At 36.8% G+C, this 25,153-nt stretch overlaps 1 protein-coding gene across 4 annotated transcripts in view; it reads right to left on the bottom strand.

Annotated features, from left to right (window-relative positions):
• DCC (DCC netrin 1 receptor) overlaps positions 1-25,153 on the bottom strand; it is a 1,195,703-nt gene that overhangs the window by 628,122 nt on the left and 542,428 nt on the right. For all 4 annotated transcript variants that reach the window (NM_005215.4, XM_017025568.2, XM_017025569.2 and 1 more), the window contains exon 3: positions 1,450-1,734. In NM_005215.4, coding sequence (NP_005206.2) covers positions 1,450-1,734 — 285 coding nt within the window. The remainder of the gene's footprint in view (positions 1-1,449; positions 1,735-25,153) is intronic.

Genomic DNA, 25,153 nt, shown 5'->3' with positions numbered 1-25,153 from the left:
TTAGCACAGTGCTTCTCAGAAATAAGCATGTGAATGGACAAGTAAGTGATTGTTCAGGCTGGGCACAGTGGCTCACGCCTGTAATCCCAGCAATTTGGGAGGCGGAGGCTGAGGCAGGCAGATTGCTGGAGCCCAGGAGTTTGAGACCAGCCTGGGCAATAGGATGAAACCTCTTCTTTACAAAAAAATACAAAAAATTAGCCGGGTGTGGTGCCACAATTCTGTGGTCCCAGCTACTGAGGCTGAGGTGGGAGGAACACCTGAGACTGGGAAGTTGAGGCAGCAGTGAGCTGTGATCGCACCACTGCATTCAGCCTGGGCAACAGAGTAAGACCCTAGTCTAAAAAAAATATGTATATATGAATGATATGATGTATATATACATGACATATATCATGCATATATGATATATATCATTCATATATACATGATATATGTATATATCCATATGGATATATACATATACATATGTATATATCCATATGTATATATCCATGACATATCATGTATATATCCATGACATATCATGTATATATGATATCTATCAAGTATATATGATATATATCATGTATATAGGGTATATATATAATACATATCATGTATATATGATATATATGATATATGTATGATATATTTAAAATTTTGTGTATGTAATGGAAATGTAAATAGATGCATGTATGTGCTGGGAATAAATGCTAGCTTTGCTTCTGTTATTGCCTGGTAGATGAAATGTAAGTGTTGTCACTGGTTATTGATACATTTAAGTCAGTATCCCTGTGACTAATGGAGTACAGAATATACAAAAGAGAACTCTTCACACTTTACCACATTTTCTGTCTGGCACTACAGTATGCTCAGAGCCTAAATAGTAATGAAGATGTTGCCATTCATCTCTAGATGCTTATTTATTGGTAAAAAAAAACAGCCCTGTAAAATAAACAAAGTAGATAAGATCAGCCTAATTTTAATATTGAACTATAGATATATGATATATGATACATATATATATCTATATGTATCATATATCTATAGTTCAATACTAACTTAGGGAATGTTCTTAACGTTGCAAATTTTCACCTTCATCCTTTGAAATGAATCAAAACTACCTCTTAGACTGTTATCAGAGGAAAATGAAATAATATGTGAGAAATGCTTATCAATGGGCCTTGCACAAAGAAATACTCACTAAATATTAATAGAACAAGTGAATGAATAAAGGAGAGATAACTGTTTTTCCAGAAACTTCAACAAGACATGAAAAAAAAAAAAAAGAACAGCTTTTGGTACAACCTGATTGAATGCTTCGGCAAGGAAGAAAGAAATAATAAACAAAACGCAATGAACAATACAGAACTTATAACAATTACAAATATCTGTTAAAGAAAAAAATTGTTTTTCAACTTATTCCAGAGAATATCATTCTGAAGGCAACAAAGAGCATTGCAATACCTGATAAAATTCTGACTTCTGCTTCATTTCCTGTTCTTGAGCTGGCTGGATTTCGAGCTGAGCATCGGTAAATTCCAATGTCCCCCGGTTGGAGTCGGCTGATCTGCAATGCTCCAGAGGGCAAGACCACCACTCGGGAGTCACCTGGGATTGGAGTCAGGTCTTGTTGGTTCTTCTGCCAGTGGATTGTTGGCATGGGCTCCCCAATGACTTCACACTTGAGTAGCACTGTGTCTCCCATGAAGGCTGTGACAGATTCTGTCTGTGAAAGGAACCTCAGTGGTCCTAGGAGAAAAACAAAGAAGGAAGAATAAGTCTTCCAAATAAAGCACAATAATCGCCAATAAAAATAATCACTTTGTATTCTTTGTAGAAAATTATATTTTACAAGCTGTTTTCTCAAATATCGTCTCATTTGCTCTTCACACTTTACCACATTTTCTGTCTGGCACTACAGTATGCTCAGAGGCTAAAAAGTAATGAAGATGTTGTCATTCATCTCTAGAAGCTTATTTATTGGTAAATAAAACAGCCCTGTAAAATAAACAAAGTAGATAAGATTAGCCTAATTTTATAGATAAGGAAATTGAGGTTCAGAGAAGTGAAATCCCACATTGGAGTTCAGTTTTTAGATGACAGTCCTACAGACAGCAACTTGTTCTTCCGAATCCTGGTCCTATGGACAGAATTCCTGTTACCCCACTTTGGACAAAGGATTATGAAGTCATGAAGATTCATGAAGGACTCGTCATACGGCATGACCTAGAGCAGCTTCAAGAAAGAGGGATGATAGGAACCACCAATTATAGTAACAAAGGATTGTCTTTTAGGGTTTACTGCTTAAGGTAAATGTTCATCCACATTTGCCAGGTATGGCTGTGGTGTAGTGAAAAGATTTAAAAGCTGGAATTAGGATAGCTTGTGTTTCTAGACTAGTTGAGCCACCTATTACATATGAATACTTTGGAAACTTGTTTCATTTCTTTGGGCCATGAAATGGGGTAATATCTAATTCACATAGTCACTTCAATGTTCATATGAAATAACATGTGAAAATGATTCATTCATATGAATGACCAATATAAGGAAAAAATAAAAGAAATAAACTGGCCATTACATACAAGCATAAGCATGCATGAAAAAATAAAACAAATAAACTGGCCATTACATACAAGCATAAGCATGCATATACATGCTTGTATGCATCACCATGCATACAAGCATAAGCATGGTGAGAGAGAAGGCTTCTCTGCCATGACGTTGTACATGAGAGGGGTAGGTGTTTTCACCTTGCCATCTCAAACCCCCTGATATGAACAAGTGGATATTTGTGATCCTAAGTTTTGACCATGAAATTCTTGTGTTTTTTTAAATTATTACAAAGAAATCTATTGGTATCAATTGTGCCATCAATGAAAGACCACTGGCAAATTCTTAGAGAAAATTCAACTAAATTTTAATAATTATTTATGTTTGCTATTCATCCCAGTTAAATTCTGATATTTCTATTTTCATTTGACTCATTCCAGAATTGTTTTAATTTTATGCACATGTCACAATAAACTTTGATCCATTCATCAGTCTGGGGTTCATGTCAAGTTTTACTAATCATATTTTATGTTACTGTGATTTTTATTTTATAGATTTAAGTCAACATTCCCCAGGTCCAGGTTTAAATTTTGTCCAGAAAGCTTGATTGTCTCATTAATCTTCAGTAAACAAAATTCTACTGTGTTCAGTTTTAATTACCCTTAGTTTTAATTTGGGTCTATTAATTTTCATGATCCTAATTTTCCCCACAACCTGATACAAATTTTGCTGTGGCCAAAAGGGCAAAGGTAAAATGACCTGGGTCAAATCATAATTTAATATGAGAGACAATAAGCGATGCTATTTCACTTTCCCTCCCTAAGTGAAGGTGAAATTTTACGTCTCTTTTAGGGATTAGAGTTTTGGACCACAAAATAACTGAATCTATGAAATATAAAATTAGACCAAAATTATATGTGGGTTAGGTACAAGCTGCTGAAGGATATCACTCATTATAGCTACATCCACAGAAATAGACCTGCAATCCTAGAGATGCAATATTAAGATTGTTCTTTGTAAGAAAGATTAATGCTATACCATGCAAAAACCTTAATATTGATGCAAATATTAATTTATCCCTCACATATATATTCTAAAATTACTCATCTGATTCTTAAACTAAGGCTCTGAAATCTGGATCCATGGGGATGCCTGGATAAACACTACAGATTGCCTACAGGGGGCGCCAGCCACTTGGCTAATTTTATTCTTTTTCAGTTAGAACTAATCTGTGTCTGTGCTGCATCTACCACTGGGTGAAGAACGAAAGGAATTAGTTACCTTGTACCCAGGCTTATTGCTCAAAATCCAGTTTCCAGACTGTCTGCATTATACAGTCTTGTGTCTATTCCAAAGAAGTACGTTAATCTACTACAGATTGGCTCAGGTATGGATTTAAGGCATGTACTTAAACAGAGCATGATCTGTGTCTACCACACAAAGCAAAGCTGCAATGAGTAGTGACAGATATGAGGCTTATGTAGGGCAATGAGTTTCGCACAAATTTGATTTTTATTTAATAGTTTTCTTCTTGGTTGTCATCCCTAGTATTTTATTTTGTAGTTAAGGAAATATAGTCAGGAATAATTTTCCAATATACACAAGTTATGTATTTAATATATGTAGGTGAGAATAAAATTTTAAGTTGATTTTAATAATCTGGACATTTATATATTCAGATTTATGGCTCTTTAGAAGTCATACACATTGGATAAATTTAAAGCATTTAAACCATTTATCCATGGTGGTTCACACCTGTAATCCCAGCATTTTAGGAGGCAAAGGTGAGAGAATCACTTGAGCACAGGAGTTTGAGACCAGCCTGGGCAACATGATGAAACGCTGTCGCTACAAGAAATTTTTAAAAATTACCCAGGTGTGGTGGCACACACCTGTGGTCCCAGCTACTCGGGAGGCTGAGGTGGGAGGATCACTTGAGCCCAGAGGCAGAGGTTGCAGTGAGCTAAGACTGTGCCACTGCACTGTAGCCTGGGCAAGAGAGTGAGAACCTGTCTCAAAAAAAGAAATAATAAAACAGAAAATTAAACATCTATTTTACATCCGAATGTCTTTTGCATTCAAAAATGTATTTGCAAGTAGGTTCTAGAGCCTGGAATATGTAAAATGAAATAGTAATTCAAACTGATACTCAACAATTGGTTTCCTATGTAAACTTCATCTACTTGGAAGAATTCGATACAAAGGCTGGGATTGCATATTAATATAATTAGACTTAACAGAATTGGCTAATAGAATTGCATGCACTCTGTGATGATTTCAGATCTTAACAAGCCAGGGCCAGAACTGCATCCTGTTTAAAAGTTAACAATGCAATGTTTGAAAATTTCACAGAGTTGATTATTTGTCATAGTGAGAAATTATAAACATGATGCATAGTCTTTTCTTTTTGTCTCTAAATGGGAAACTCTACACATTCAAAAGCAATTCTAAGTTTATAAGGCTCTATAAGGCTTGACTGAATGCTCCCAATATTGTGCTAAATTTTAGCAGTTACATCTCATGGTGGTGTAACAACCCAGCAACAGTCTTAAAAGAAGAAGAAATTATAGACTATCAACTTAGTACTATAGTTTCAAGGTATGTGCATGAATATCTAGTAATGAACAATAAACTCACTATAACGCATACGTATGAAATACTATATTTTCGTAAAAGTCATCTAATGTTCTAATGCAATACAAATGATTCCCAAGCTTCATCCAGAGAGAGATACAGGTATAATTTTCACTAGATCCTTGTGAAAAATAGTTACCTGCTCAACCACAGCCCATTCATGGAAAAAGCCTGGTTCAGACTCATTAGGCCACATCTGATCCGTTGTAATGATAGCAGCAATGGTCTTCCTATCTCTCTGTTTTCCTCACTCGAATGCATTCCAAACATAGTCAAAATATCAGTGCTCCTACATCACTAAAGGTTTTGCTTCACTCAGGAAATCTTGAAGTTCCCAAAATGTTCTGGCATTGTCTTTTGCCCCAAAACCAGGCAAAGAGTTTTTTGTTTAATATGTGCCCAGGTATCTAGCACTATGTCCCTTTCAGGTTCATTTTCCACAACTTCTGCAAAACAATTCTCAGATCTATTGAACTTGTAGATGTCCTAAACATGGTTTCCTCTTGGCTGTATTTCTTATGGAACTTCCTCTGAAAAGGAACACGCTCTCTGCTAACATCTACCTATCAAATCTCTAGTCATGTTTTAGGTACTCAATCAAAAATCTCTCCCTTTTTCCTAGTCGTACTTACTGGAAATCATCACTCCACCTTTTAAATTTTTATAGTACTCACAATTTGCAGATACTATAAAAAGTTAAGTGTATAAATAAAAGCTTGAAAAGTATTTCTACATTCATGTGGATGTTTTCTGTATTTTATTTCTGTGAAGTAAATCAAATATTTACTGAAAGAAAAAAGATACAAAACATTGGCTGAGGTTCTATGTGACTCTAAATGTTTAAATAGAGTATTGCAGACATCCAAATTTTGAAAGTTGGATTTGAGCTTTGGCTCTGTCACTTTCCAGCATACTGTGTAGCAGTTTGGAATAATGAGATTACCTGGAGTCACTTCCCCGCTTCATTATTTAACAAGCTAGAGGACTTTGGGAACGGATTGTTTTATCATTTATGCCATTATAAACACTTTTATAAATGACCTTATTTAATCTTCATAATGGCTCTTTTAGGAAGTATTATTATCTCCACTTTCTAGATGGAACTGGTACCAAACTCTTTCAAATGTTTATAGTATGATTGTTATTTTTATTTATTTATTTATTTATTTATTTTGAGCCCGAGTCTTATACACTATCGCCCAGGATGGAGTGTGTTGGCACGATCTCAGCTCATAGCAACCTGTCTCCTGGTTCAAGCGATTCTCCTACCTCAGTCTCCCATGTAGCTAGGATCACAGGTGCATGCCACCATGCCCAGCTAATTTTTGTATTTTCAGTAGAGACAGGGTTTCACCATGTTGGCCAGGCTTGTCTCAAACTCCTGACTTCAAATGATCCACCTGCCTTGGCATCCTGAAGTGCTAGGATCACAGGCGTGAGTCACTGTACACAGCCCATGATGGTTATTTTTAAAGGTTTAGTACTGAATTATTATACTTCTTAAAATACCTTATTTCCCTGACATAAACAAAAATATTTCAAAAAGACGTTCGTTTATATGTGAATACTCTTCACTCCTCAAACCCTCAAGTAGCAGTACTGTACTCAATACACTTTGTTGTTTAGTAAGTACTTTCTGCCTTACATTGAATTCCTATAGACAAATTTCAGCCTGAAGTACTTAACTATTAAAAATAGCAGACAAACAATTTTTGGTGATTTTGCAGGGCTTACATTGTTAGCCTAGGAAAACCTTGATTCCCAGAATGAATTTCAAAGTTCCTACCTTCACACCTAGACTGGCCCAAGATGCTATGGCAGCTTTAAATACAGGAACACCTGGTGTTGTTGGAAGTGTCCCACACAAGCCAACTTACAGATTTCCACATTATCTGTATCTCCATGCATTAACAAAGATCAGAACTTATTAGTGAGAAACTATAAAAAGGAAAGAACATTTGTTTTACATATGGAAAAGTCAGACACATATGGAAGCTCTGTTTAATCTTCTTAGAAATGATAAAGACAGTTTTAATTCAAATTTTATAAGTGATTAATACAAAGTAAAAGTGCCTGGGCTTCAGCATCAAAAATTATATTGATGTCAACAATTCTAATTATAGTTGTACAGTAAGCATTGGGTGCTATTAGCAAGAGATATAGAGCCATTATGAGACTGCCATAGAGAAATGGGTCTCACCTTGTTATTTTGAGTCCTGAAAAGGATCTTCCATTGTTCTGTAACACTAATTTTAACATTAAAAGGATTCATTAGGAGTCTACTTATATGTTACTTTGTTAAGTGTTGCTCAATGCCTGTTAAGCAGCCGTAACCCCAATTTGTTCCTAGAACATTTATTAACTACCCATGCAAGGAAGAGTAAAGGTTTTACCCTATTTGCAGCTCTTCAGTAACAGTGTGTTTGAATACCTGAGACTTAATAGTTCAATGCAGTAACAGAATTCTCACTTCCTCATAGTAGCTTTCCCCAAGTCCGGATAGAACCAGTTGTCCTACAGGTTTTATCTCCAGCACTTACTTCAATTGTGATTAACTGTGGAATTTATTTGCTAGCCATCGTCCAGACTAATCTGTAAATTCCACAAATCAGAGCCGAGTCTATGTTATTCTATACTGTAAGCACTTAGCATGGTGTATGGCAAATACTTGGCCATCAAACGTATGTTGAATGAAAAATATATATCATTGTTAAGATAATCAGTTTAAGCAAATGTTTCAGACCCTAAATATTGGAAAGTTTAGGAAACACAAGCAATAACTAGGAAAGCATAAAGAATTAGTTAGAGGAGCCTTGGAGTGGTAGCTTATGCCTATAATCCCAACACTTTGGCAGTCCAAGGTGGGAGGATCACTGAAGGACAGGAGTTTGAGACCAACTTGGTCACGATAGAGAGATTCTGTCTCTATAAAAAAAAAAAGTTGTTTTTAAGGCCGGGCACGGTGGCTCATGCCCGTAATCCCAGCACTTTGTGAGGCTGAGGCGGGCGGATCACCTGAGTTCCGGAGTTCGAGACCAGCCTGACCAACATGGAGAAACCCCGTCTCTATCAAAAATACAAAAAATTAGATGGGCGTGGTGGTACATGTCTGTAACCCCAGCTACTTGGGAGGCTGAGGCAGGAGAATCACTTGAACCCAGGAGGTGGAAGTTGCTGTGAGCCGACATGGTGCCATTGCACTCCAGCCTGGGCAACAAAAGTGAAACTCTGTCTCAAAAAAAAAAAAAAAAAAAAAAAAAAAGGAAAGAAAGAAAAACAATTGTTTTAATTAGCCAGGTCTGGAGGTGCACACCTGTAGTCCCAGCTACTCAGGAAGCTGAGGTGGCAGGATCACTTGAGCCCAGGAGTTCCAGGCTGCAGTAAGCTATGATCACACTTCTGCACTCCAGCCTGGGTGGCAGAGAGAGATCCTGTCTTTAAAAAATAAATAAATAATAAAATAGGAGAAGGGAAAAGCAGTGATTTTTTTCAGGAAAGCAGAAAAGAGCTGAGACTAATAAATCCTTTCATTTGAAGAGATGGGTTGGTGTAGAGGTGGTGAGGTGTGGAGAGGCTATCCATAAGGCATTTGTGAAAATATTATCTAAGCCACAAACAGTTCAATTGTAAATCAGTAGACGTTTTGAATGGGATTTCCTCATCCTCCCTTCACATCACTGTCCCCAGGAACAAAGTTATCAGTGGTCTCAGGGCCAGCCCCTCACCCAGCTGGGACAGCCTGGGCAATGGCTGTGGCCATCAATCTCCTCAGACCAATACATATTTCCTCAGAAGCTAGGCACAACCCAAATATTTGCTGTCACCAGGCAGTAGAAATGTTAATAGCAAAAGAAGCAAACATTTTTCATTTGGGCTTTTCCTTTGTGATGCTAAAAAAAAAAAAATGAGGTAAAAAATCACCATGGCAATGAATGGAAAGCTGCTAAATCTGTAGGGACATCAAAAGTGTTAGGCTCTCAGAATCAAAATAAGGAGAACAATAGTCTCTCCCTACCCTTCCACCCAAGCATACACACACTGCATAGACGACAAGAAATCTTTCCATCAGATCCAGACAGTCAGAAAGTTTGAATATTTTCGACATGTACTCTCATTCATTTAATTCTAAAGTACTTTAGTTTTCAAGCAAAAGTGGAAATAAAGCATTTCACAGTCCAGGTTTATGCCAAGACTTGCCGCCTCTAGGGAGGTCTCTCCTCCACCCACACACCCCCAGAATGGGCCTGTTCCTTCTTTTAAATTCTAATCTGAAAATGGCACATTCTTCCGATTTGCCCTCTAGCCTTCTTGGCAGACTATCAGGATCCACATCTTCTCCTGTGGAAGGTCTAATTATTAAGTAATTAAAGTTCATTTAATAAAAAGAGACTTATCAATTGGGGGACAGACCTTGGGGTTGGAAACACGCCTTGCTTTTAAATATTCAGCAGTGTGGTAATACTCTGCAACTGCCAGAGGAGAGCGGCTGTAAATGCTTTGTTTGCTCCAAATTAAAGCCTGAAGGTTACATCCCTTCAAAGCCAGACCTCCTTTGCCCTTTTAAATTCTCAAATTAGCCAAAAGGCAGAGAATAGAGGCAAGCCAAAGAGACATTCTCTAGAATTAGTCCTTTTCAAAAAGCAGCCAGAAGGCCAATAAAAGATATGCAGGGCATTTGGTAGAAGCTCATTTTGGCCTGTACTTGCCACATCCCTCTGCAAGCTATCATTTCCCTTTTTTTATTCTCCCACTCCTTTTTATTTTTGCTTCATTTCCACTGGCAAAATTACAGACTCCCAGGTGGTTGGCTGAAGAGCAATTGCTCTATGGTGGACATTGCAAAGGAAGTCCTGGTAAGCATGTCTGGTAAGTGCCAGCGATGTTCACCCTATGTGATCTTATAAGAAGCAATCACATGACCAAATGAATGAACCTCTAAAGGATGTCAAAGGGAAAGAAAAACAGTATAGGCAGATTACCCAGATACTATAGGCAGATACTATTAAAAAGTTAAGTGGATAAATAAAAGCTTGAAAAGTATTTCTACATTCCTGTGGATGTTTTCTGTATTTTATTTCTGTGAAGTATATCAAATATTTACAGAAAGAAAAAAATACACAAATATTGGTTGAGGTTCTATGTGACTCTAAATGTTTGAATAGAGTATTGCAGACATCCAAATTTTGAAAGTTGGATTTGAGCTTTGGCTCTGTCACTTTCCAACATAGTCTGTAGCAGTTTGGAATAATGAGATTACCTGGAGTTTGTCCAGCTCTGCAAGCTTAGCAGCACACAATGACCTCTTGCCCTAGGCCAAAAATAGGCAAGGAGTAAGGCCATCAACTAAGTCTTTCTCAGAATCATCTTTGGGGTTTGTCCAATATAACATCCTCTGTAGTGTTGGTACTGTTCCAGATCCTTGAAGCAATGAAAGCCTGACTATACATGAGACCCAGAAACAGACGGCCATTTGGGGACTCCTATAATCCCCATGACCAAGAGTCAGTTTAAAGCCTGGTCTATCATAATCTCACCTAAGAGCATTGCTAGGTTATTTCTTAGCTGGCCTTCAAAGCCATGGAGTAATTCAGGATTCTCCGGAATCATCCTTCTTAGTAATATCCTCAGGACCCCTGGTGGTTCATACTTTGCCCCATTGTATAATTAGGAAAGGATACTGTCTCTGAGGGAATGAATTTTATAAAGGCACTGCACAGAATCAACCCAGTAAATCCAGAACTGGATTTCAGCCCCTACCCAGCTTTCCCCTGGAGGTGGTGATCAGACATGAACTACAACGTGTCCTAACAGTCCTGCTCCTCTTGATTTCAGTATCAACAATCAGACAAGCGTGAGCTGGCTTGTCCCATCAATATCTTTGATTAATTATAGGGCCAACAGAGGCAGTTTTGGGAAGCATTGTTCTAGGTAGCATTTTAATAACTTTATTTCCTCCAGTCAAGCTATATTATAATATCTATTCTGAGCACAAGGTTAAATAATAGTTTTACCACCTCTTCCTCAAACTCACATGGTGTTGTCTTTCTAGATTCTTCTTAAAATCTAATCAAATTATACTGAACATCAATGCCATTTATGTATGTGAAAGTTAGAATGAAGTCCTTCTTACAGAAGGTACTAGATAGCAAATAATGAATAGTGGCAACTATCTTTCATCTTAGCTCTGCTGTCATCTTTGGTGACTGAAAGAGGTCGCTTAACTGTGAGTATGCATTAAGCCAAATGCAGACTCATACTTAATGTGTAGATCAGCTAGGAGTTTATTATTTGCTTGTTTTACTTTAATGTAAGATTTTCTATAGAAATTCTTTAAATTTCTAATGTGGACAAATATTCACTAGTAATTAAAACTGAAAATATAACAAAAATGAGATAGGACCTTAGCCTATCAGTGTTGCAAAAAACCTCTTAAAATGATAATTAACAATACTGTGAAAGTGTGAATTGATACACCACCTCAGTAAAGTGATTTGAAATTTGCATCATAGCAATTTAACCACGGCTGGGTGCAGTGGCTCACACCTGTAATCCTAGCACTTTGGGAGGCCTAAGCAGGCGAATCACCTGAGGTCAAGAGTTTGAGACCAGCCTGGCCAACAAGGTGAAACCTCGACTCAACTAAAAGTACAAAAATGAGCCAAGTGTGGTTGTGTGCGCCTTTAATTCCAGCTACTCGGGAGGCTGAGGCATGAGAATCACTTGAGCCCAGGAGGCCGAGATTGCCATAAGCCAAGATTGCGCCACTGCACTCCAGCCTGGGCAACACAGCAACAGTCTGTCCCAAAACAAACAAAAAAACCAATTTAACTCAATTTTTCTTCTAGGAATCCATACATAAGTATACAAAAAGAAAAGTTACATATGTATTCAATATTGTTATTTAAAATAGTAAAAAATATAAAATGGGCTAATTGCACAATTGGTAATTGGTTAAGCAAATTATAGTATATCCACTGTACATAACATTATACATCCATAGAAAATTATGTTAATAAACTTTTTTTAAATGAGCGAAAATTATATTGCTCATTTTTTTCTAAAACAAGCATATCTTTAAAAATACAAAAGGAAACTTTCCTAATGTTTCTAATACTCTATTCAGTGCATTATATTCAGTGAAATTTGCAAGCAACTCTTCACGAGCATATTGATTTCATGAAGACATGTTTACCTCTACAAGCTTTGACAATAATTTTAATTCTTCTGCATGTAAAATTCTTAATACAAAAACCTGAGATTGGTTTATAATCAATAGTAATGAATAGTTTTACAGAATTCAGGCTGAGGCTTTCTATTAAGCTAAAAATCTCATTACACATGGCTAATGAATGGTTGCAATGCTCATAAAAGTTGATTGTGAATACGGCTGATATTTGTTGGGCCTACTTGGAAGTATGCACAATTCAGGATAGGCAAATCCTTCAAAAGCAGAAAAGCAAACTCTTTAAGTTGGTATGATCTTCTGTTTTTCATCACATCACTGTCACCACCCTTTCCCTATTTTATCAAGGTTCTTCTTCCATGCACCCCTACCTGCACTGACTGCATTACTTAATGAGAATTCCCAGATCACCCACTCATTCAGTCAGTCAGTCAGTGTGGTGACTAATTCTACGTGTCACCTTGACTGGGCCGTGGGGCACCCAGCCTTTTGGCCAAACATTATTTTGGATGTGTCTATAAGGGTGTTTCTAGATAAAATTAAAATTTAAATCAATAGACTGAATAAAACAATGTCTTCCCCAGTGTGGGTGGGCTTTATCCAATCCGTTAAAGGCCCAAATAGAACAAGAAGCAGAATAAAAGAAAATTCATCTTCTGCCTGACTGCTTGAGCTGGGACATTAGTCTTCTCTTGCCTTTGAACTGAGACTTGAACTGGAACTTTCACCATCAAGTCTCCTGGTTCTGAGGCCTTCAGATTCTAACTGGAACTATACCATCATGTCTCCTGGGTCTCCAGCTTGCCAATTATAGATACTAGGACTTCTAAGCCTCCAGAACCATGTGAGCCAATTCCTTGTGATCAATCTCTTTCTCTGTCTCTATTTATCTTTCTAAATAGATGGATAGATCCTATATATTATATAAAATATTTATATATCACATAAACATATATTAATATATAAAAATAATATAAATACATACTTATATTGTGTGTATGCATGTGTGTGTGTGTGTGTGTGTGTATGTGTCCTGTTTCTGGGGAATCCAGAGTCAGTCAGCATTTATTGGACATCTAATATGTGCCAGGGATCATCCTAATTGCCTGAGGAATACAGTGATGAACAGTACCAGTTTCTTTCCTCAAAGAGTTCATAGTCTAGTAGGAAAGGCAAATATATAGCATAGCGCACTGTGACAAAAATGAAAGATGCTGGTGGAGCAAAGATAGCGTAATCCTCAGTGATGCCTATTGGGAAATCAATAATCAGAAAAGAGCTTCAGAAATGGTGGACTATGGCTGGGTCTGGAATAAAGAATGGGAGTTCACCAGATGCCCAAGATACAAAAGGACATTCTAGACAGAGAAGCAACATGTGTAAAGAAAAAACAGTGAATCTAAAGACTGCACATGTTTTTAGAGATGGCAAGTAAGTCAGTAAATAATGGGAAGCAGTGAGTTCGAAAACTTATGTTTTTTCTCCTTCATAAGAGAGCCTGATACTGTTTTTTTTAAATTGTATTATAAGCCTTGTGTGTTTTGACTACAGAAGTACTGTGATCTTCATGAGGGGGGAATCTATGACTCCTGTGTTTTGGTATTATTCCCTAGGTACACAGTAGCACTCAATAAATATTGACTAATACCCAAATTAATTAACAGATAGTAACATATGTTTCCGGTATATTAACATGTTATATCATGTTATGTAACAACTTGTGCTATGTTATAGTTAAGTCCTGTTACTGTTCAGAAAATGATTCAATCTTCTGGATTTCAGAATTCCAAGGTAGGAATACAGAATTCACATCCAGCATATTTTCTGAAGGAAACATTACAAAACCCTAACAAGGATTTTCATAAACAAAGAAACTTGGCAAGACATTTCCCTATTCATTTCAAAGGTCATTGAAACAAGAATTTATTGGGTTATAATTGTTTCAAACTTTTAATTGAGCATGTTACCCAAAGGATTAAATGATCTTCTATCTGACCGTCTATTAACCCAAGTTCCTATTTTTCTTCTTCCCAGTGGCAGTCATTGAATACATACCAGGCACTGTATTAGGTTTATTAATATAAGCTTTTGCCTTCATATGGCTGTAAATGGCCCTGCTGAGATTCTCTGGCAATACTTTTTACTCTACATTTGTTTCATAGGACTACCCTCTTCTCAATATAAGTGATTTTTTTTCCTGCCAAAGACATGTGCCTGAGTGCTATATTCAAAATCTTTAGAGAGAGACAAAAAAAAGGAGAAGCCTAAATGAAACAAGTTTTCAATACAAAGATGCAGTAGAGAGAGTAGTCTGCCCAAAGCCTTTATTCCGTATTATATAATTCATTAAAGTTAATTTGGTAATAGCTAAGATTCACATCAAATATACCAAAAGGAGTCAATTTTTTCCTCTTATAATTTTAATATATTTTTCCTCCCCATAAAATCCATTTTGTAAAATAAGAAGCCAGAAATCCCAACAGAAATAATAATTTAGATTAAAGACTTCTGGTAAATCTATATAATTTTAATTTCAATTTGGAAGTACCTACTGGGGGAAAATTGGAGCTAATAAAATGCATTTTCATACTGTGCATGCATTTGCACAATGAAAATGGAAAACCAAAATATTTCTGCTTAACTATGTAACTTGTGTGATTTTCAACCTTCTCTACTGAGACTCTGAAAAAATCAAAACTTGTTTAAGAATTACCAAATTTTTGATAACCTGACCCAGAATAACATGATATAATAGCCACTCGAAGGGAAAATGACAATGTTTGACGCTAAAGTTTATAGTCTGAAATGTGTCTCAAACTCACCAGAATCAAAGCTCACCACAAAAGCCTGAAATGATCTTTTATCTCAACACATTTTGTTCTGTACTTACTCCCCAGCAATGATTGGGCTGTAGAAAAATGTCAGTACGTTGGAGAATAGTAAATCATCCTTCATAAAAATCTTTCAGTTGTGGGGTCATTCTCCTGGGTCCAGTTATATCACATGACACCTAGTCTGAGAAGAAAGATGGGGAAAGGACACACCTGGGAAGTCAGATATATTTCTACCCTGCTTCTTTGGGGCCACTATCTGGCTGCAGGTATGTGTGGTAGGAAGTAAATTATCCCTTCAGAACAGCTTTAAACCTCAAGTGTCAGGGTACTTATGCAGTTTTTATAGAATCAGCAACAACATTGCTTCCAAGCTTGTTTATGACCTTTCCTGATGGTAATATCCATGAACTTAAAAAGAAGTATTAAAGCATCAAGAAGTATTTATTTAAAAGATGCGTGGTTCAATAGGACATGGGCTTTGAAGCTCAGTGGGCCAAGAGGAACATGGCAAAAGATTAACCTGGGGCTGTAAGCAGGGTGGATAATTCAGATGTCATCCACCACTTTAGTAAGTCTGCATTTTATTTCAACCACACTGAGATGTTATTAAGGGATTTTAAGCAAGGAAATGACGTGATCAGATTTACATATCTGGAAGATCATTCTGGCTGCTGTATAGAGAATAGTTTGAGGTGGTGGTGGTGAATACAAGAGTGGAAGCAGGAATCTCAGAGAGAAACTTAACAGCAGTCAAGGCAAAAGGAAATAGACAAGTAAGGTAATAGTGGGATGGAAGAAAGGAGAAAGTCTAGCTATATTTTGATGTATAATGAACAGAACCTATTGAATGTTGAATATGTTTATGAGGAAAAGGGATGGGTCAAGAACAAACCTCAGTTTCCAAGTAAAATATTTAGGCTGTGATTTTGCTTAGGTTATGTAGGTATAAAAATGCAGTGGTATGGAAGATAGCAAAAAATATAATACATGTGAGCAAGAGATATGGTTAAAAATTAAACAGGAGTAAGAGGCTAATTATTCAATGTCAATCTCTGAATCTCAAAAATGAAAAAGGTTAGAGAGGTTGACCCCCAAGGTTTCTATCATTTATAAAAATACATTACTTTGTGATTCTATGTTTAAACAACCTAATATGTGGTCAGACTTTACATTCATCCATGTCATTCATTCATGACATAATTTATGTCAATCATTCAGGACATAATTTAACAAAACTAATGTAATAGACACACCAGACACTGAAGCTACTGAAGCAAATTATAAACATTCCCCATCATTGCCCTAAGGGAGCTGCCTGTCTAGTAGAAAATGCAGAGTTCACCAGGCAACATTTATCATCAGGGTTCTTAATAGAGGAGCTTAAAAACAAGCCTAGGGACTTATGGTAAGAGAGAAGTCAATGAAAACCCCAATATTACAGAAATCTGACCGACTCAAGTTAATTTGAGCATTAATTTGAACATGAAATTATTATTTCCTTTGCTTATAACTAAGCTATCTTGTCATTTATTGAGCCTTCTTATTAATTTTACACCATTTACACTGATTTAATTGGTTTTGTAGATAGAACTCTGGTTCCCAAAGGTTGTCTAAATATTGCTATTTTAAAGTCATTCCGCTTTTCAAGGAAGAGAAGATCAAGAACATACATTTAAAACAGCTGAATTTATGTTAAATTTTGCCAGGTTCTATGACTTTGCTTTGAATCAAAGTTTGTGTCCTTTGAGGCAAACTCTTTTCATATATTTTACTCTTCTCTTAGCCTCAGAATTTGGGGATTTGAGATGATATTTAAAGTGACGCATAGATACTTCTACATCAGAACAGTATTTGAGACACATATCGATATTTTATTGTAATTGTAGTTTGTCCTTTTGGAAAATTGCTATGGAACTGAGTCTTAGATATAGAACTATCTATTAAGATACCAACAGAGTTCATCAATCTGGGGCCACCTATGAGTGATATGTGAGGTATGTCTTCAAGGTAATCTCTCACTAGTAAATTTACAAAGTGTTAACCTAACTTTAAGCTTAAATCTGGGAATATCATAACACATCAATATTTTCCAAATTTCTTACCTGATATGTACCATAGTGAGCTGTTTTAGGCGGTTTTATGAAATCATTTACTAGGAATTCTTGTTTCCTATATTTCTTTATCAGTAACCATATGTTCTATCCCCACTAGTCTTCTCATTGAGCTCCTAAGCATGACTTTATATTTTCCTGTATACCTCACCAGCTATGCCTCCCTCTGGCTCCAACCCTGTGTTCAATTAGTTTGCTCTTTCCCAACTCATAAGGGTTAAGCCTTGGTTGGAATTGCTCAACATTGCATCCTCTTTGCCTGGTACACAGCAGACACTCAGTAAATATTTGTTGAATGCACAGCTAAAATATCGGAATTTAACTCAAACTCCTAAAACCAAATCAAATCTATTTTTCTATTTTCTTTGTTGATATTGCATAGATCTTAGTTTCATTGACACTCATTTGGAAATCAGCAGCTATTTATTGGTACAGATACCATATTTTCATCCAATTAAATTTTAGCTTGCTGAAGGTCAGATATAGTACTCTATATTTCTTTGGATATTCACACTGTCTTGCATAGTAAAAACACCAATTAACACTCTCCTTGTTTTAAGTCTGATCACAGTAAGAATTATTTTTGTTTTGTGCATTTAGGCAAAGGACCATCTATTAAGATAACTCTAAAATATTCTGCTTCAATTGAATGACTTCATCTTAAAGTTCTGATGACTGGTCCTTTTCATTGCAGAATATTTTGGTGATGACCTCAATTTATGAAAAATTCATTATGGTAATTCAGAATTTAAAACTTATAATAATTTCAACCCTAAAGGGTTGGATTCTCTTTGAAACAACTAATAAATGTTTTGTAAGCAATTAACTGTACAAACAAGATTTACAGTACACTCTATATTTTGTAAAGTGACTTCTGTTTCTGAAACGTAGAACCCAATTATAAATTTTCTACCCCACTTCTCAATCCCTGCTTTACCTTGATGGCTTTCATGTCAATAGCTACATATCTGTCCAAAATCATTCTATAAGCTTCTCACAAGTAAGAATGAGACTTCAGTTGTTTTGTAGTCTCAGCCCAGCACAGCACATTTAGAGTAGTATGTGGTCAATGGCTATTGGCTGATTAATTATTGAAAGCCTGATATTTCATTCGTTACTTCTTTCTGTCCTTCCATACTCATCTACTATCATTTTCAGAACTCCCTAGTGGTTTAATGAAAGGGATCTGAATATATACAAATCTTAGATTTATCACTTTAAAGCTAGAAAGGGCCTTACTGATCAAATATATTCAATCATTTCCTTTTATGAAAGAATACATAATGAATATGAAAAAGTAAAGATTTTTACCCCATCTCCAATTCCTAGTTCCATATCTTATATATTAGAGGTTCTCCACATCTAATCTTTAATTGATGATTGAAAACACATTTCCATCTAAATGCATTAGTGCTGAGCATTCCCTCCCCTGTTGAGCTTCCTGTTTGAAAAGCCAATTAAATTGGTTATATTATGTATTATATTGTGACATGTTTATATGTGTATTTATGTGCATGATTAATATTCATACATGTGCTTGTATGTATATATATGTGTGTGTATATATAGATATCTGTGTAAAGAGGGGTGTGTGTATATGTATACTTATATATGCAAAAGTCTAGTCAAATATATACATATATCCCTCTATTTTTATGTGGGCTTCTGTATATACACATACACATTTGCTTCACATGTTTTCTTGCTAAAATATATGGTAAACTATTAAAACCAGTGGTGAATTCATTGGGAAAAGCAATCTTATCACAGGGCATTGTTTTTTGTTGTTAAAAAGTAATTTTATGTTAAATAACTGACATAATTAAGAAAAATGTTTTTTGCAATATTTATATATATGTATGTATTTTGCCTTTATAGAATAGAACACTTTTCATACTTGTTATTTCCAGTACTTTTTTTAAGTAATCAGAACATAGATCTAGAAATAAGCTGACTTGGGTTCTTTCATTTAGAGAAATGGTAATAGTCTTATAAACCTTGAACTTGTCCATAACAGATTTTTTAATATGATTCAAACTCATCAGAGAAGATGCCTTATTATTCACACCAAGCTGAACTGCTAATTTTCAGAGACAAATGCACCTGTGGAAAAAGAAATCCTATCTTTAAATTGTATTATCCACTGAGAAGACCACATACTGTTTTGTCCTTGTTGTTAATACAGAAATCAGAGGGTGTAAATCTCTTCATCTTTTTGTCAGCACTTCTGGCCAGGGTGTTAATGGCCTGCAGCCAGGAAGTTGTATAGGCTTCCAGCCAATCAGCAATGAGACCATTTAATTAGCTTTTCAAACAGGAAGCACAACAGGGGAGGGCATGCTCAGTGCTAATACATTTAGATGAAAAAGTATTTTCAATCACCAATTAAAACAAAGGACAGGAGATTTTAATTCTTTGTGATATAAAATGGATAAAGAGACTCACTTCATTTATTAAGTGATAAAGGCTAATTTTACTAATTGAAAGTGCATTTTCAGTGTCTTAAGAGACTTTCTTTCAAAGGCTAAACCCAGTTTCCCCCTGCCAAAATGAAAGTGCTGTATTACTTCAGTGAAAACCATAAGAAAGGTCTCCTACTTGGAAAAACCAACAGATCTAAGAGCAGATGGTTTGGGCTGATACAGAGGCTGCAAACTAATTCTGAGAAAAATTGGATTTAAAAAATCATGACATTAATAATTACTATTAAAAGTTGGATAAGCTATACTATGAAACTGGATATTCCAAATTTTGACATTTTGAGGGAAAAAATATCTAGAAGTTGAGATAAACAATTGCCTAAAATTGTGACTTGGAAATGATATTCTCTGGTATCCACAGGGATTGTATTATAAAAGCATTAAAGATTATATAATTTGTAAGCAACTTTTTAAAACATTCGTTAATGAATAAGAGGGGAAGTGACCCTCGATTCTATCATCGTGGACAAGATCTAAAAATAAAAGTTTAAGATTAGTATCCTTAAGTCTTAATTGCATAGTATCAATCTCTGAACACCTTCACCTTTTGCTGGAACTACCTTTTGCAGCTAAGATGACACAGATGGAATAAACCTAATATAAAGCATTAGGCAGCACAAAGGATAGAAAATAATATGTTTGGCTCTCCATTTCTGCAAATACATGTTGATGATAGTTTAAAAAAAAAAAACCATTGATGATTGTTTCTAAATGCTAGAAGAGGTAGTACAAGGATAGATGAGCCTGCATTAATTAGTCCTAAAAGTTGCAGAGTGATAACAGGATTTAGATAAAAGCACAAAGAATCTACAAGGTCTTAATTAGTGATCAAATTCAGCACTGAGTTTGCAATACTGTTTCAAGCTTCTGTCTGACTTGAAATCTTGCCTTTCATTCAACATGCCCGTGTTCTCATATGCATTTACCATGGCTACTCCACTCCAGTCTGCTCCTGCTCAGATTACCCTAGAAGAGCCTAGGAGGGCACTGCTATCATCTTGAAGCAGTCAGTGGCAGAAGGCAGCAAACTATAGCTAAAGGGCAAAATCTAGTCCAATGCCTGTTTTTGTGGGACCTACAAGCAAAAACAGCTAAGCAAAATAATTTTTAAAGGAAGAGGAGAGCAGAGTAAGATGGCTGAATAGAAGGCTACATTTGCCATCCCCGCTGACACACACCAAATTTTAACAACCAACTATGCACCAAAAAGCACCATCAGAAGAACCAAAAATCAGGTGGGCACTCACAGTGCATGGTTTTAACTTCATATCGCTAAAGAGACTCTGAAGAGGGTAGGAGATAGTCTTGAATCATCAACACCATCCCTCCCCCTTTTCCCAGCAGAGGAAACAGAGGTTTTGTCTGACCCCCCTCCTCCAATAGACAGGAAAAAAGACAACGAATACGCTACAGCTATGGGACCTTGTCTTAGGCAAGTGACATTAGAAGGGGAGCTCTTAGCCTGCCAGGTAATGCAAGATGCACACAGAGAGAGTCTGTGCAATTGTGGGACAGACAGCACAGCGACTGGGGGACTTTACATTGAACTCAGTGCTGCCCTGTCACAGTGCACAGCTAAGCCCTGCTGGACTCAGCTGGTGCCCATTCATGGACAGAGAATTTGGACGAGCCTAGCCAGAGGGGAATCACCTATTCTAGCAGTCAGAGCTCAAGTTTCTTGGCAGGCCTTGCCACCATGGTCCAAAGCGCTCTGGGGTTCTAAGTAAACTCAAAAGGCACTGTAGGACACAAAGACTTCAATTCCTAGGCAATTCCTAGTCCTGGGCTGGGCTTAGAGCCAGTAGATTCGGATGGCATGTGACCTAGGGAGATACCAGATGGGGAGGCTAAAGGAGTGCTTGCGGCCCTCTTCTCCCAACCCCAGGCAGTGCAGCTTGCAGCAACAAAAATGACTCCTTCCTTCTGCTTGAGGTGAGGAGAGAGAAGAGGAAAGAGGACTTTGTCTTGCATCTTGGATATCAGCTCAACCACAGTAGAAAAGGGCACTGGGCAGAGTTGTAAGGCCACATTCTGGGGCCTATCTCAAAAATGACATTTTAGACACACCATGGTCCAAGAGGGAACTGCTGCCTAGACAGGAAGAATCCAGTCATAGCAGGGCTCATCACCTGCTGACTAAAGAGCCCTTAAGCCCTTAATAACCAACAGTGATGTCAAGTTAGTATGCCAAGGACCTAGAGCCCTGAGATGTTGTGGCTTCAGATGTGATCCAGCACATTCCCAGCTGTGGTGGCTATGATGAAAGACTCCTTCTGTTTGAGGAAAGCAGAGGGAAAAGTAAAGGGGACTTTGTCTTGCACTTTAGGTACCAGCTTTGGCCACAGTGGGGTAAAGCACCAAGTGGACACTTGGAGTCACTGAGTCCAGGCATATAATCTTGGATAGCATGTCTGGACCTGCCATTGTCCAGACGGGAACCCACTGCCCTGAAGTGTGGGTCTCAGGCCTGACAGCATTTACCAAAAGCTGACAGAAGAGCCTTTGGGCTTTAAGTGAATATCAGTGGTGGCCTGGAAGAATCCCGTGTGGGCTGGTGGTAGTGGTGGCCACAGGGAGAGGCTCCTCTGTCTATGGACAGGGGAGGGAAGAGTGGGAATGACTCTTTTGTGGTTTGAGTGCCAGCTTAACCATAGTAGAAGAGAACATCAAGTAAATTTCTAAGGTTTTTGACTTCAACCCCTGGTTCCTAGACAGCATCCCTGGACCTACCCAGGGCCTGAGGGAAGTTGCCACTCTGAAGGGAGGAGAACAAACATGACTGGCTTGCCCACTTGCTGATCATAGAATCCTACATCCTTGAGTGAACATAGGTGGTAGCCAGGTAGTGGTTACAGCAGGCCATAGACAAGACCCAGTGTTGTGTTTGCTTCAGATCTGAACCAGCACATTCCTAGTGGTGGTAGCCACAGGAGTGCTTGTGTGCCCCCAACCCCAGTTCCAGGTGACTCTGCACAGAAAGAGAAATTTCGTTTGAGACAAAGTAAGGAAAATGAATGAGAGTTTCTGCATGGTAACCCAGAGAAGTTTTTCAGATTAAATCTAAGGCCACCATAGTGGTACCTCTATGAGTCTGCAAGAACCACTGCATTATTAGGCTTTGTACCCAAGTTCCTTCAAATACCTGGAAAGCCTTCCCAAGGAGAACAGGCACAAACAAGCCCAGACTGTGAAGACTAAAATAAATGCCTAACTCTTCAATGCCCAGATATTGATGAACATCTGTAATCATCAGGACCATCGAGGAAAACATGACTTTACCAAATGAACTAAATAAGGCACCAGGGATCAATTCTGCAGAAACAGAGATATGTGACCTTTCAGACAGAGAATTCAAAATAGTTGTTTTGAAGAAACTCAACAAAATTAAAGATAACACCGCAAAGAAATTCAGAATTCTATCAGAAATTTCACAAAGAGATTAAAATAACAAGACAGAATCAAGCAGAAATTCTGGAAATGAAAAATGCAATTGATATATTGAAGAATGCATCAGAGTCCCTTAATAGCAAAACTGATTGAGCAGAAGAAAGAATTAGTGAACTTGAAGGCAGGCTATTTGAAAATACATGGAGGAAATAAAAAAAAAAGGAATAAAAAACAATGAAGCACACTTACAAGATCTAGAAAATAGACTTAAAAGGCAAATATTTCAATGGTCTTCAAGAGGAAGTAGAGAAAAAGATAGGAACAGAAAGTTTATTTAAAGGGATACTATCAGAGAAGTTCCAAAACCTAGATAAATATATCAATATTCAAGCACAAGAAGGTTTATTGAGCACCAAGGAGATTTAACCTGAAGAAGACTACCTCAAGGAAGCAAACTCCCAAAGATCAAGGATAAAGAAAGGATCATAAAAGCAGTAAGAGAAAAGAAACAAATAACATACAATGAAGCTCCAATATGTCTGGCAGCAGAGTTTTCGGTGGGAACCTTACAGGCCAGGAGAGAGTGGCATGATATACTTAAAGTGCTGAAGGAAAATAACTTTTACCCTAGAATGATATATCCAGTGAAAATATATTTCAAGCAAGAAGGAGAAATAAAGCCCATCCTAGATACACAAAACTTAGGGGATTTCATCAACACCAGATATGTCCTACAAGAAATGCTAAAGGAATTTCTTCAACTTGAAAGAAAAAGATGTTAATAAGCAATATGAAATGATCTGAAGGTACAAATCTCACTGATAATAGCACACAGAAAAACACAGGATATTATAACGCTGTAATTGTAATCTATAAACTACTACTCTTAAGTAGAAAGACTTAACAATGAACAACTCAAAAGCAGTAACTACCACAACTTTTCAAGAGTACAATAAGTACAATAAGTCACAGAGAAACAACAAAAAATTAAAAAGCAAGGAGACAAAGTGTAGAGTTTTATTAGCATTTTGCTTGTTTGTTTATGCAATCAGTATTAGGTTGCCATCAATTTAAAAGAGTGAGTTATAAGATAGTCTTTGCAAGCCTCATGGTAACCTCAAATTGAAAAATATACAGTGGAAACACAAAAAATAAAAAGAAAGAAAATATATCACTAGAGAAAATCACCTTCACTAAAAGGAAGACAGAAAGAGATCTCACACACACACACACACACACACACACACACACACACACACATAAATAAATAAATAAATAAATAAAAAATAAAATAAAAATAAAACAGAAAACAAATAACAAAGTGACAGGAATAAGTCCTTACTTATCAATCATAACATTGAATGTAAGTGGTCTAAAATCTCCAATCCAAAGCCATAGAATGTCTTAATAGATTAAAACATGAGACCCAATGATCTGTTGCCCACAAGAACCACATCTCACCTGTAAAGATGCACATGGACTGAAAACAAAAAGATAGAAAAAAATACCCCATGCCAATGAAGACAAAAAAAGAGCAGAAGTAGCTATACTTGTATTAGACAAAATACACTTAAAGACCAAAACTGTAACAGGAGAGAAACAAGTCTATTATATAATGATAAGGAGTCAATTCAGCAGAGGATACATCAACTGAAAATATACACACATCTAATGTGGGAGCACCCAGACATATAAAGCAAATACTGTTAGCGCTAAAGGAAGAGATAGACACCAATATGATAACAGCTGGACAACACCCCACTTTCAGCATTGGACGGATCCTCCACACAGAAAATCAACAAAGAAACATCAGATTTAGTCTGTGTTAGAGACCAAGTAAGCCTAATAGCTATTTACAGTACATTTCATCCAATGATTGCAGAATACAAATTCTTCTCCTCAGGACATGAACCATTCTCAAGGATAGACCATAGGTTAGGTCACAAGTTTTAAAACATTTCAAAAAATGAAACTAATATCATGCAT

The sequence above is a fragment of the Homo sapiens genome, chromosome 18 (assembly GCF_000001405.40).
Source record: "Homo sapiens chromosome 18, GRCh38.p14 Primary Assembly".
Classification (NCBI taxonomy): domain Eukaryota; kingdom Metazoa; phylum Chordata; class Mammalia; order Primates; family Hominidae; genus Homo; species Homo sapiens.
Note: the sequence above shows the minus strand (reverse complement) of the source record. Positions and strands in the feature narration are given on the sequence as shown.